Source organism: Homo sapiens, chromosome 11, assembly GCF_000001405.40.
Source record: "Homo sapiens chromosome 11, GRCh38.p14 Primary Assembly".
Lineage (NCBI taxonomy): Eukaryota > Metazoa > Chordata > Mammalia > Primates > Hominidae > Homo > Homo sapiens.
Genome location: NC_000011.10, coordinates 46,277,662 through 46,291,028, shown reverse-complemented (window position 1 = coordinate 46,291,028; position 13,367 = coordinate 46,277,662). Strand labels below are relative to the sequence as shown.

Sequence of the window (13,367 nt, the reverse complement as noted above, 5' to 3'; positions counted from 1 at the left end):
GCCTCTTTCTTGCTCACTGAGGGTCAGGGGTCTGGGGAAGAGACCCCAGTACTCAGCCCCAAGTGGCCCCCAGGCCAGTGGGACTCTGAGGGGAGCGGGGAGTGCTGGGTCCTGACATCACAGAGCAGAGAAGCTAGAGCCACAGTTATGCAGGCCAGCTGGGGCCCTTCCAGTGCATCCAGATGTCTCAGGAATGTGCTGAGCTGGGAACTACCACCTTCCTTGCCTCCCCACCCCCAACCCCTCATCCCCTTGCTTGCTCAAGCTCTGCCTCCGCCCACCCCCTTGGCTCCTCCTCTTTCATCTCTCCCTGGGAGGCCTCCTGTACACTGTCCCTCTGGCACCGTGCCACAGTCAGGCTCCCTGTTAGTCCTCTGAAGGGATTGTCAGAGGCAGGAGCCCTTCCCCTCCTGCAGACCCCAGGGGCTGAACTTGTGGGGTGGAAGGAGATGGGAGCTAACTGGGAGGAGAGAGTTCCAAGCAGATAGTGCATGCCAGATCCCAAATGTGGAAGTGATTTGCAGCCCTGGAGAGAAAGGGGTGAAGGCCTTGGGGCGGCAGAGGGCAGGGCTGGAAGGATGGTGAGTGGGGCTCTGGGCATCTTGTCCCAGCCAATGGGTAAGAGGGTCAAGGAGCTGGTGTGCCAGGCTGGGCTGGGCTCAGGAGGAGGGTTCAGACCCTCCTAGGCCCCTGGGGTTCATAGAGACATGCTTTGTCTGATAGTAGAGGGTCCTGAAGTATTGGAGGAGATGGGGGAATCTTGTTAGGGTCCTGGTGTTGGGCCAGGAGCCAGGACATGGTTCAGGCTGGAGCTCCCAGCCCCAAAGAGGAACAGCCTGTCCCTTTGCAAGGGCGGAGTTGCCTTGGGCCTCCCCAGGCCAGCCTAGCTCTCAGTGCTGGGGGTGAAGGAGCCAGAAGGGAACTGGTACTCCTGGCCCAGTGCGAGAGTCACATCAGGGCACTGAATAGTAGAAATCAGAGGAGAGAAGGGACCTGGAGTCAGCTGCTGTCCTGGGCTCAGGGAGGTCCCACAACTCTGTTCCCCCTGGGGGAGAGTCCCTGATCACCCAGACAGGCTGACAGCTGAGATCCGCCTGATGGACCGCAGGCCTCCTAGCACTGAGACCCTTCAGAGGAGCTGGTGACCATCACCTGGTGCAACCCAGAACTATCGTTGGCTCCCTCCTGCCTGCTGAAAAACTCCCAGCTCCTCAGCATGATACTCAAGGACTGTCAGAAACTGATCCCAACTTACCACTAGAGCTGGAGCCCCCTCATTTTCTCTCCTCTCCAGGCTAGTTGGATGGACCATTCCCAGCTCCTTAAACCTGCTGTGGTCCCCATGGCTGTAGGACCTTTGCTTATACCTCTCCTGGTGCCTGCAGTGTTTTGTCCTTTATCTCCTCATTCTAACTCTTCCTATCCTTTAAGGGGCCAACTCAAATGCTGCTTCCTCCAAGAAGCCTTCCCTGATCACCAAGCTTGAAGAGTAATCTCCCTCTCTGTTCTACCACAGCACTTACAGACTGTTAGGTCATTGGTTAATGTCATGCCCTGAACTCTAATTACACACAATGGGATCCAGCTGTCCTTCTAAACGTTACCCTTCTTTCGGGTAGATCAAGGACAGGTTTCATCTTTTTTGTTTTGGAGATGGGGTCTCACTCTGTTGCCCAGGCTGGAGTGCAGTGGTACCATCTTGGGTCACTGCAACCTCTGCCTCCTGGGTTCAAGTGATTCTCCTGCCTCAGCCTCTCAAGTAGCTGGGACTACAGGAATGGACCACCATGTCTGGCTAATTTTTGTATTTTTTGGTAGAGACGGGGTTTCACTGTGTTGTCCAGGTTGGTCTTGAACTCCTGACCTCAAGTGATCCGCCTGCCTCAGCCTCCCAAAGTGCTGGGATTACAGGCGTGAGCCACCGCGCCTGGCCGGATTTCATCCTTGAACCCTCTGCAGAGCCTCAAACAGGGCCCAGCATATACTCTGCCTAATGGTAATGATCATAATATAATAACAGCGAATATTTATGTACCAGGCACTGCTCTAACTTCCTGCATGTAGTATCTCATTTAAGCTTCAAAGGATAAAGTGGGTCCTCTTAGTACCCTCACTTTATGGATGAGACGCTGAGGCTCAGAGTAGTTAAGCAGCTTGCCCAGGTTCATTCAGTTAGCAAGTGGTCAAGCGGGGATTTGAACCCAAGCTCTGATTGCAGAACCCACGCTCTTAAGCACCCACAACAACACTGGTTGCTGAAAGAATGATCCTGCTGCCCCATTGCAGCACCTAGTCCAGGGCCAGATACAAAATATGGGCCCCCACTCCACACACTGGGTTCATCCTGGGGATCCGGTTTTGCTCCTTTCCTGGCCATCCCTCTCCTGCTGCCCAGAAAGAGCCCTGAGAAGTGGCCTGGGGCTTTTTGGCTTTACCCAAAGGAAAGAGCCTTCCATCTCCAGAGAGTTGAGACAGAAAAATAAAATCCCCGTGATCAGGGCTCTGCAGGGCTGGACAAGGTGGGATATTCCTGCGAGGGCTGTCAAATGCCATGGGCCTTCCTTTTAAGCAATGACAGCAACAATCAAAATAAAAACAGCAAGGGGGACCACAGTCAATTATAACTTAATTTTAAAATAACTAAGAGGGCCGTGTGCGGTGGCTCACGCCTATAATCCCAGCACTTTGGGAGACTGAGGCGGGCGGATCACTTGAGGCCAGGAGTTTGAGACCAGCCTGGCCAACATAACAAAACCCCATCTCTGCTAAAAATACAAAAATCAGCCAGGTGTCATGGCGCATGCCTGTAATCCCAGCTACTCGGGAGACTGAGGCAGAGAATTGCTTGAACCTGGGAGGCGGAGGCTGCAGTGAGTGGAGGTCGCGCCATTGCATTCCAGCCTGGGCAACAGAGCGAGACTCCATCTCAAAAATAAATGAATAAATAAATAAATAAAATAAAAAAAAGAGTGTAATTGGATTGTTTGTAACACAAAGGATAAATGCCCGAGGGGATGGATACCCCATTCTCCATGACGTGATTTTTTTTTTTTGAGACAGAATCTCAGTCTGTTGCTCAGGCTGGAGTTTAGTGGCATGATCTCGGCTTACTGCAACCTCCGCCTCCTGGGTTCAAGCAATTCTTCTGTCTCAGCCTCCTGAGTAGCTGGGATTACAGGTGCACACCAACACGCCCGGCTAATTTTTGTATTTTTAGTAGAGATGTGGTTTCACCATGTTGGTCAGGCTGTTCTCAAACTCCTGACCTTGTGATCCACCCGCCTCGGCCTCCCAAAGTGCTAGGATTACAGGCGTGAACCACCGCACCTGTCCCATCATGTGATTATTATGTATTACATGCCTGTACCAAAATATCTCATGTGCCCCATAAATATCTAACCTACTATGTACCCACAAAAATTAAAAATTGTCCAGGTGTGGTGACTTATGCCTGTAATCTTAGCACTTTGGGAGCCAAGGAGGGAGGATCGCTTGAGCTCAGGAGTTCAAGACCAGCCTGGGCAACATGGCAAAAAAAACATCTTTACAAAAAATACAAAAAATTAGCCAGACATGGTGGTATGTCCCTGTAGTCCTAGCTACTCAGGGGTTTGAGGTGAGAGGATCACTTGAGTCCGGGAGGTTGAGGCTGCAGTGAACTGTGTTTGTGCCACTACACTCCAGCCTGGGCAACAGAGTGAGACCCTGTCTCAAAAAAAAATTTAAAAACCAAAACAATAAAAACAGCAGTGGCAACTATTGTTTATAGAGGGTTTATGGTGTACCAGGCCCTCTGCAAGAATTTCTAATGGAATTCTCTTAAGAACCCTATGTTTTACCATGAACCCTACTTTTGGATGAGGAAAATAAGCTTGGAGAGGTTAAAGCACCTGCCCAAGCTCACACAGGTGACAAGTGGGAGGCCCCAGGTCTAAGCAGTGCTGAAGACGTCCCGCCTCAGGCAAGGATCACTTCCCCAGCACTTGCCTCATCATCTGCCATCTGACCTGTGGACCCACTGTCTGCACACGTTGAGCCTGGGAGTACGCACCTGGGAAGTCTTGGGACTTTCCTGTTTAAAATCTCCCCAGAGTGGGGTGGATTCAGGGTCTACAGCTCACCTCTGTCCCAAACTCATGCAGCTTTGAGAGACCAAGATATTCAGAACCGAGTGTGTTTTCTTTTCTTTTTCTTTCTTCTTTCTTTCTTTTTCTTTTTTCTTTTTGTTTGTCTGTTTGTTTTTTGAGACAGAGTCTTGTTCTGTTGCCCAGGCTGGAGTGCAGTGGTTCAATCTCGGCTCACTGCAACCTCCGCCTCCTGGGTTCAAGCAGTTCTCCTGCCTCAGCCTCCTGAGTAGCTGGGATTACAGGCTCCCGCCACCACGCCTGGCTAATTTTTGTATTTTTAGTAGAGACGGGGTTTCACCATGTTGGCCAGGCTGGTCTCAAACTACTGACCCGCCTCAGCCTCCCAAAGTGCTGGGATTACAGGCATGAGCCACCATGCCCGGCCCTGAGTCTGATTCTTAAGCTGGGTAAGTTTCCATGTATTAATTTTATTATACTTTATAACTGATAGATATACAGTCTATATATTCTACCAGTGCACAAGATATCATAATAGAAAAGGCCATGATGATAAAGTGAAAGGGAGAGATGGCATTTATGCTAACATTCACGATTTGAGTAATCAAATGAGTGAACGAATGAAGCAATCTACTTTAAAAAAGAGGGCCATCAAAGCTGGAAGTGTAGAAGTGTCCTTTCTTTTACTATCTATCCACCCACCTATTCATTCCTCTATCGTCCCCACCCTACTCCATCCTGCCTTCCTTCCATCCATCCAATAAATAAACATTTCCTGAGCACTCAGTCATTATAGCTGTACCTAGGGAATAGCCGCAAATAATTGACTGACACACCCTGCTCTCAAGGAGCCCTCAGTTTAGTTCAGAAATGAGGAGGCCAAGGCCCAGAAAGGGAAAGTGATTTGCCCAGGGTCACACAGCAAGTGAGGGAAATGAGGTAAAGAAGGGTGAGGGTATTCCAGGTGGAGGGGAACCCATGGGCAAAGGCTCAGACCTGTCTGCCTCCAAAGCGAGCCCCTGTCAATCACTGCCTGAAACCCGCCTCCTGGCTCTCCATGAAGGCCTGAAGAGCCTGCCTCACTCCATCGCTACTTTCATTTTTGTTATTCTTTTGGAAGGGGAGGAGGAGCCAGTGGCTGCTGCTGTCCAGCTGTTATGTCGGACCGCACATCCCAGCCCAGATGTGTCAAACTCTCTGTGATGGGTGAAGTGGCTTCTGGGCCACGAGCCACGAGCCAACGGCCAAGGAAGCGGCAGTGAAGGCTCTGTCCCAGGGGAATTAGGGGAGGAGGCACACTGAACCCGGCGGCAGGGAAGCCCATGGTTGCTCCAGCTATCAAACTGGCCTTGTAGACAATATGGTGTGTCTAGGTGGTGGGGATCAAGATCTTTGACATTCCAAAGAAATCAATACCTTTGACATATTTCCTCTGAGGGTCAGAGTCCTGGGGCATTTCCTGCCTCTCCCAGCTTCTCCTGAACCAGACAATCCCACCCCCACACATTCCCCAATCCTGGTCCAGGGTCCTGCCATTCAGTCTGGCTTCCCCAGGGCTGCTCAAGAGGGTTACACAGAGTTCCAGCTCACAGTCTTGACTTAACTCCACCCAAATATTCCTCCTCCATCCTGCCCCCAGGAGTGCTGAGACTTCCAGAGAAACAGCCTGTTCTCCAGCATCTGGAGCTGGTTTCTTGAGGGAGGTTCAAGGGCAAGCCAGGTTCCAGAGAGAGATGCTCCAGGAGGGCCTCGGTACCAGGACTCGCACGAGGCACATGATACAGGGAGAAGACACAAAACAGGGATGTCCTTTATGCTCCCCTCTCCTGGTGCAGTAGCCAGGCCAGGCCAGGGCAGACAGAAACAGAGTCTCCTGAGGAGTCCTGGGAGCTGCAGAGAGCAAAGATCCAAGTCCCCAGAAGGGCTGGGGAACAGCATCCTGGGGGTGAATCTGATAGGGTGTGAAATGGGATGTGGGAGCTTATTCAGGGGATCTGGTTTTGCCCATAAAGCTCTAGGCATCCAAGGTGCCCTAAGGATGGGAGTGGGTGAGGATGAAGACAGGGACCCTGTGATATGAAAGATCCTGAATTTTCCTTGCTCTAGAGGGGAAATCTCAAACTAGAACAATGAGAGAACTTGCTTGTAGCTTCTTCTTGCTCCCCTCTTTGACTCTCCATAGGACTCCTGCCCTTGAGCAGAGTGCACAATGGATAATAATGCCTATACGTGTTCAGTAAAAGGAACATGGCCCCAGTCCCTGTGGAAATGCCTTTTTTTTTTTTTTTGGAGATGGAGTTTTGCCCTTGTTGCCCAGACTGGAGTGCAATGGTGCGATCTTGGCTCACTGCAATCTCCACCTCCTGGGTTCAAGCGATTCTCCTGGCTCAGCCTCCCAAGTAGCTGGGATTACAGGCACATGCCACCATGCCTGGCTAATTTTTTTGGTATTTTTAGTAGAGATGGGGTTTCACCATGTTGGTCAGGCTGGTCTCAAACTCCTGAACTCAGGTGATCCACCTGCCTCAGCCTCCCAAAGTGTTGGTATTATGGGCATGAGCTACCATGCCTGGCCAGAAAAGCCTTCTAATAACTCCTTTGCCACTAAGGAAGAGGGAAATTGGGGCAGCATGTGCAGAGATCACCTTCTGAGAAAGCTTTCATGACCTGTAGCCTGGCTCAGCCTCCTGCCATGCTCTGCTCCATCATGGCGCCCACCATGGTGTTGATACTGCCTATTTCCCTCTCTGTCTCTCTCATTCGTCCGCGATTGACTGGAGGGTCAAGTGTGTTTTCTTCATCTGGGTTACCCTGGCACCAGCATAGATGTTCCTTCAGTGCCCAGTTGCTGAAGGAATGGACATGTGTATTAATGAATGAGCAAGTGAATTCCCAGCTGGTCCAGGGAAGCCGGAGGGACCTCACAACATATCGGGGCACAGACAGCACTTCTGTGGGACCCAGCATCCCCACCACCCTAAGGGATGGCCAGTCCAGGATCCTGAAAACCCCAGGATCCCTTCAGGAATCATAAGTACACCTCTTGAACACTTAGATCTGATTTTTTGGGTCTTGCTCTGTTGCCCAGGCTGGAGTGCAGTGGCGTGATAATAGCTCACTGCAGCCTTGAACTCCTGGGCTCAAGTGATCATCCCACATCAGTCTCCTAAGCAGCCAGGACTTCAGGTATGTGCCACCATGCCTGGATAATTTATTTTTTATTTTTTGTAGAGACGGAGTCTTTCTGTGTTGCCCAGGCTGGTCTCAAACTCTTGGCCTCAAGTGATCCCCCTGCCTCCGCCTCCCAAAGTACTGGAATTACAGGTGTGAGCCACCACATCCAGCCTGGGATTTTTTTAAAACAATTTTTCCCTTCCCTTACAAGGATTGCCCCAGTCTAAAGTAATTTTCTCTACAAATATAGTAAGTCCTTGAAATAGAGCAAAGTTCACTACAATGTGACCCAAACTTGACTTCTGTTCTATGCTCAGGCCCCTTCTCAAATAAAAGTGAGCAAAACTCCATTCTCTATGGGGCTGGTAAAAAAAAGTGACTGCCTCATGCTCCTGTGGTACTCTTTCTGTTTGGTCTGCTTTGTGCAGTAAGGTGTCACAATTTTTACTTTCCTGCTTTTTGTGATAGTACAGACCATCTGAAAAATACTGTTTTTCGTTAATTCTACAAAAATATTACTCCACATTTTATGTAATTGGAAAATTTATTTTTAAATTTGTATTATTATTATTACTTTTAGAGACAGGGTCTGGCTTTGTTGCCCAGGCTGGAGTGCAGTGATGCCATTATGGCTCACTGCAGTCCCAACCTCCCCAGCCCAAGTGATCCTCCCTCCTCAGCCTCCTAAGTGGCTGGGACCACAGGCATATGCCACCATGCCCGGCTCATTTTTTTTTTATTTTTTGTAGAGACGAGGTCTCCCTATGTTGCCCAGACTGGTCTTGAACTCCTGGGCTCAAGCAATCCTCCTACCTTGGTCTCCCAAAGCATTGAGATTACAAGCATGAGTCACCGCAAAGGAACATAATTGGAAATTTTTGACTGGGCATATTTATTGCATTATTGTAGAATTTTACTACATTGAGCATCTATTTTGTCCCATGTGACTGTGCTAGGTTTATGTCAATGCACAAAACTGATATGGACTCTCCTCTTATGGAACTTACTTTCTCGTGGAGGAAATAGACAATAGGCCATTAAAATAATTGCAAACTGGGTTAAGGGCTAGAAGATATCAAAAGACTAAAACAGAAAAGAACAGGGGGGTCCCACTTTAGGTAGTCAGGGAGCGTTCCCTAAGGAGGCAATATTTGAGCTGGGATCAGAAGGCTGAGATGGACAGACTGGGGGAAAAGCAGTCCAGATGACAGGAACAGCATGTGCAAGGGCTCTGAGGCAGGGCTGGAAAAGGCTTAGTCTTAAATTGGGTGAGTATGGATCCAGGAGTCCTAGAGCAATCTGAAGAAGAAACTGGGGAAAACGGAAGCCCTAGAGACAGTGCTCAAGAGTGACACCTGAGCCACAAGTTCAAATCCCCTGTGGGTCAGCCAGCTGTAGACTATTCTAGACCAGGGGCTGCAGAGGCCTGTGCAGTAGGGGGATGGCTCAAGGTAATGAGAACTCATTAAAAACCATGGAGAGCCCTTCCTGGACCCCAGAGACAGTGCAGGGTCTGCAGGACCTCGATGGCTGCAAATAGATGGGCTTAAGGACACTTTTCCCTCTTCTCTAAGAATGTGGGGTCTGGTTTGGGCCCCTTTTTCTTCATCCATCCATCCATTCATTCATCCATCCATCGATTTATTCATTCATCAACGGTTGTTAGGCACTGGGATACAGCAGTGAACAAGACAGACCAAGCCCCTGACTCAAGGAACTGTTCCCTCAACACTGGGGGAAGCAAAACCCAAATCAAACCTCTGCTCAAAACGAACTTAATGTTTTGATAGAGTAGGTATCAGAGGTCTCCTTTCTGAATAGGCACCCTGAGATTTGGGCTCCTCCAGTAGGTTTTTCATTAGATCTTTTCTAGCAGATTGCACTCTGAGACCAGAGTGCCTTAGCACTTCTGTCCTCTTTCCTGTTGGTGAGAACTTAAACAGAAACACACACAAATCTCCCCTTTTAAGGACTGTTAAAGGCCCACCCACAGACATAGGAACACCCAAACACACATACTTCTCTAATCTCCCTAAATCTCCCGAAGGCTGGGGGTGGGGGTGCCTCTCTGCTTCCCAGTTAGCTCAGGAGAAGCCAGGCTAGGCGTGTGGGGAGTAGCGATCAGCCTTAGCCCCCACCGCCTCCCCGCAATGCTGGGCTGGTCCCTGGGTCCCCGTCACTCCCACACCTGGCCTCCCCAGCTGCAGGGAGTAAACGGGTGTGCTGGGCAAACATCCTTGCAGCTTCCTGCTGCTCCCCTCTGAGAAAACAGACCTTTTCTTCCTCCTCCTTCTCCTCCCCACACCCTCCCAGCTGGGGCTTCTCTGGGATCCCAAGCCAGTTCCCTCTAGAGAAGCCAGACATCCCTTCCCCTTAGCCAGAGGAAGGAGGGGACAGCACACAGACCTAGTGTTTCCATCTGGAGAAACGACCTGCTCTCCCTCTGGTCCTTTATCCCAGTTCTTGGAGCCCAGACCCTCTCTCTCATACTGGCCAAGGGGCTGAAGGACCACAGAGTACAGTGGCTCAAGGGTGGCCACATCAGAAACCATGGGAGAGCGGGAGGGGCAGGGAGGAGATGCCCCCACATGGGACAGGAAGGGCAGCCCCCTTCTGAGGATCTCTGAGAATCGCATAAACAGAATTGCAGCAACATGAAGGTATCCTCATAGAAAGAAAAATAAGGCAGCCCAGCCACCTCCAAACACACTTGTCTTGACTTTGTGTACTCACTCTCCTGTCTGTCCAAGTGCATGCGTATTTCTTGCATAGTTGTTTTCAGGGTGAGCATACATTTTGCATTTTGCACAGAGCAACAGAGCACACATGATTTCCACATGATTTATGGCCCGTATCTGGATTTTTAAGGAGGATAGCGAATATTCTGCTCTCCATTTTCCAGACTGAGAGGCACACAGACGCCATCCCTACCCATCCTTAACCCTGGAAACATTTTCCTATCCTCATGCAGAATGAAGAAGTTGGGGGAAGGGTTGGAATGGGATCTCAGCTGGAAAGAACCTCGGATATGGAGATGGAGACCCCAGAGAAGGAAAGTGACTTGCTATGTTCACACAGCAACTCGTAGCTGAGCAATTCTCACTATCACGCCCATCCAGTCTCTATGGATCAAGCCAACGATGAACGTTACATGCCAGGCATTGTGCTACATAACCTTCACTTTAATTTTCTCTCGAAATGCTTACAGTAATGCTATAGTTCTAATATTCCCATTTTTCAGATGAGGAAGTCAAAGCCCAGAAGAAGAAAAGTCACTTTTGGCCGGGCGCAGTGGCTCAAGCCTGTAATCCCAGCACTTTGGGAGGCCGAGGTGGGTGGATCACGAGGTCAGGAGATCAAGACCATCCTGGCTAACACGGTGAAACCCCGTCTCTACTAAAAATATAAAAAAAAATTAGCCGGGCGTGGTGGCGGGTGCCTGTAGTCCCAGCTACTCGGGACGCTGAGACAGGAGAATGGCGTGAACCCGGGAGGCGGAGCTTGCAGTGAGCCGAGATCGCGCCACTGCACTCCAGCCTGGGCGACAGAGCAAGACTCCGTCTGAAAAAAAACAAAAAACAAAAAACAAAAAAAAAAACAAGAAAAGAAAAGTCACTTTTCTGAATTGTCCCGCTGGCTGGTGGCAGAAACAGAGACAGAATTAAATCTCCTGATTCCCAGCCCAAGAGTCCTTTCTCTCTTTCCTTAGGCACCCCATCTTCTCCCGCTGCCTCTCCTGGCGCTGCCCCAGGTGCGAGATCAGGAGCCTCCCCAGCAGGGCTTTTCCTCCCCAGTGTCCTAGTGCTGGATCCCACTGTCTGGTCGTGCCTCTTTTCCTGTGCTGGACCAAGGCCCAGATAAGCAGCTGGGGATGCAGGGCTGAATGGAGCAGCAGGAAGAGGCTTCGGGCGGCCGAGTTCATTCAGAAGAAAGCCCAACTCAGAGCTGCCAAGGGCCGAGAGAAGCTTACTGCAGGGCTCTACTGCCCTGCTTGACTTCAAGGGTCCGAGCTCTGACAAACCTCTTTCCCTCTGACTAGTGTCTTTTACCAGCTTCAAGAGGAGGTGTGGATCCCCCGATCCCTGCTGCTTTATTCCTGGGATCTGTGCCAGAACCATCTATAGGAAGACCTGATCCAACCTCTCCCCCATTTTACAGACAAAGAAACTGAGGCTCAGGGAGGAGAGCCAGTGGTAGGGGCCAAGCTCACAGGGGAAGCAGAGCCAGGACTAGAAACCAAGTCTCGCTGCAGTCAATGCAAGCCCTCTGCCCTTATACCCTTGTCTTGTCTGCTGAATTATGCTCTCTCTGCCTGGGACAGGGGCCTTCCTCAGAGCGCAGGGTGACCAGGATGTGCTGCTTAATGGAGAACAGGGAGACCTCAGCCCCCATGCCTCCTTGACTCCGGCTCCTGTCCCTTGGCCTGGTTCCTCACCATCAATCTAGTGGCCTGGGACAGTTTAGGTGGAAGTCCAAGATGCTCAAGTCCTCTAAGGACTTGACTCTTGCCTGGCCAAGTTTATCTTGGTCCTGGGAGGTAGAGGTCAGCAGGTAAAGAGTCTCAAGTGCTTGATCACAGGGTGTGTGTGTGTGTGTGGCGTGTGAACAGGCATGCACACGCAACTGGTGGTTCACTGAAGAGGGGGCTCCCACTAGACTCCCCAAACAATCCACATTTCATCTGGGCAGGCCCTTCTGAACCCAAATATTTTCTCCCATTCTAAGTCCGTGCCCCTCCCCCATCAAGGCCTTAGGGCTGAGCCTGAGAGAGGGAGGGAGGGAAGAAGAGAGAGAAGCCACGTTTCCTTAGGGAGGGAGGGGAAGAGTGAGAAAGAGGAGAAAGACAAGCTCACAGTCGGACCTAGTCAAGAAGACATAGGGAGAGGGAGAAAGTCAGCCAGACTCCAGGAACAGAGGGACAGAGCAGAGATCTAGAGGCAGATGGAGAGAAATGGCTCCCTCCTCCTGAGCCATCACCCTATGTTGCCCTGACCGCCTCTTCCCAGCCCCCAGCCTCAGGTCCCTCCCTGGGGTGGGGGGTCTCTGGGCCTGATTCCCTGGGGCTGCCAGGGTAGCACCCTGAAATTTCTGGGCCTGGCTTCCCCGAGGGGTCGGGTCTCAGGCCCTCTGAACGTTCCCCGGTGCGCCCCCCAGCGGAGATCCAGCCTATGAGCCACCGAAGCCCCAAGGGAGGCGCAGGAAAGGGCGCTGCCACTTTGCGCCCAGTCTGGTCCTGGAACCTGGGGTGGGTTGGGGACGGCTAGAAGACGTGGGTGGAGGGCGGGATTGGTGTCTCTTGAGCTCAGATCCGAGGATCGGACGGACCCGATACCTCGATGGCCCCTTCCCCCTAGAAGGTGGAGGCCAGTGTATTCAAAGATTGAGCCCCCAGGAGGGGCGCTTAGCTCCAAACACATGTCGCTCCTGGAGACCCTGCGCTGAACCCTCTCCCCGGCTCCTGCCCAGTGATGTGTAGTCGGGTCCTTCTAGGGGCCCAGGCGCGCCGCGAGGACGGGTGCCGAGGGGTGGAACGGGAACGGAGACCCTTCATCTTACCGCATTGTTGAGGAAGTCCGACTCGTTCAGATCCCCCAAGTCCAGGAAGCTGGATCCGGGGAACAGCCTGTCGGCCGGGAAGGGTTCCAAGACGGCGTCCATCGCAGCCGGCTCCCGGGACCCCCTTCCACTGGGCTTCCCTCACTCCAGGGCGGCGGCGCGCCCAGTCCAGAGCTCCTGCCTGAGCGCTGGCAAACGGGCGGGGGGCAGGTCCGGGGCGAAGCCCCGGGGGAGGGGCGGACGGAGGCGGCGCGGCCCCGGGTGGGGGGCGCGGGGCGCGCGGGGGCCTTAGGGCAGCGGCTAGGAGCGGGATGGGCTCAGGGGCCCCGGGCGCACCGTGGGCATTCAGCCGACTCCACCTCCTCCTGCTCCTCCTGGGGCACAGCTGGCTTCCATGGGGAGCCCGGGGTTGGGGCTGAGGGCTTCAGGAGCCCCCCGGACAGGGTGGGAGCCGGGGCGGGGGAGCTAAGTGCTCCCCCGAGACTGGGTGGCTGCCGGCCTCTCCTCTGTCTCTGCGTCTCCCTCCGCACGTCTTCTGTCACTTTCCTCTCT

The 13,367-nt window shown here is 52.1% G+C and overlaps 1 protein-coding gene across 5 annotated transcripts in view; it reads right to left on the bottom strand.

Annotated features, from left to right (window-relative positions):
* Window positions 1-13,367, bottom strand: part of CREB3L1 (cAMP responsive element binding protein 3 like 1) — a 43,748-nt gene extending 30,381 nt beyond the window's left edge. For all 5 annotated transcript variants that reach the window (NR_189153.1, NM_052854.4, NM_001425266.1 and 2 more), the window contains exon 1: window positions 12,816-13,367. Coding sequence is in view for 4 of the 5 variants with exons in the window: in NM_052854.4 (NP_443086.1) it covers window positions 12,816-12,917 (102 nt within the window). In the remaining variant the exon portion in view is untranslated. The remainder of the gene's footprint in view (window positions 1-12,815) is intronic.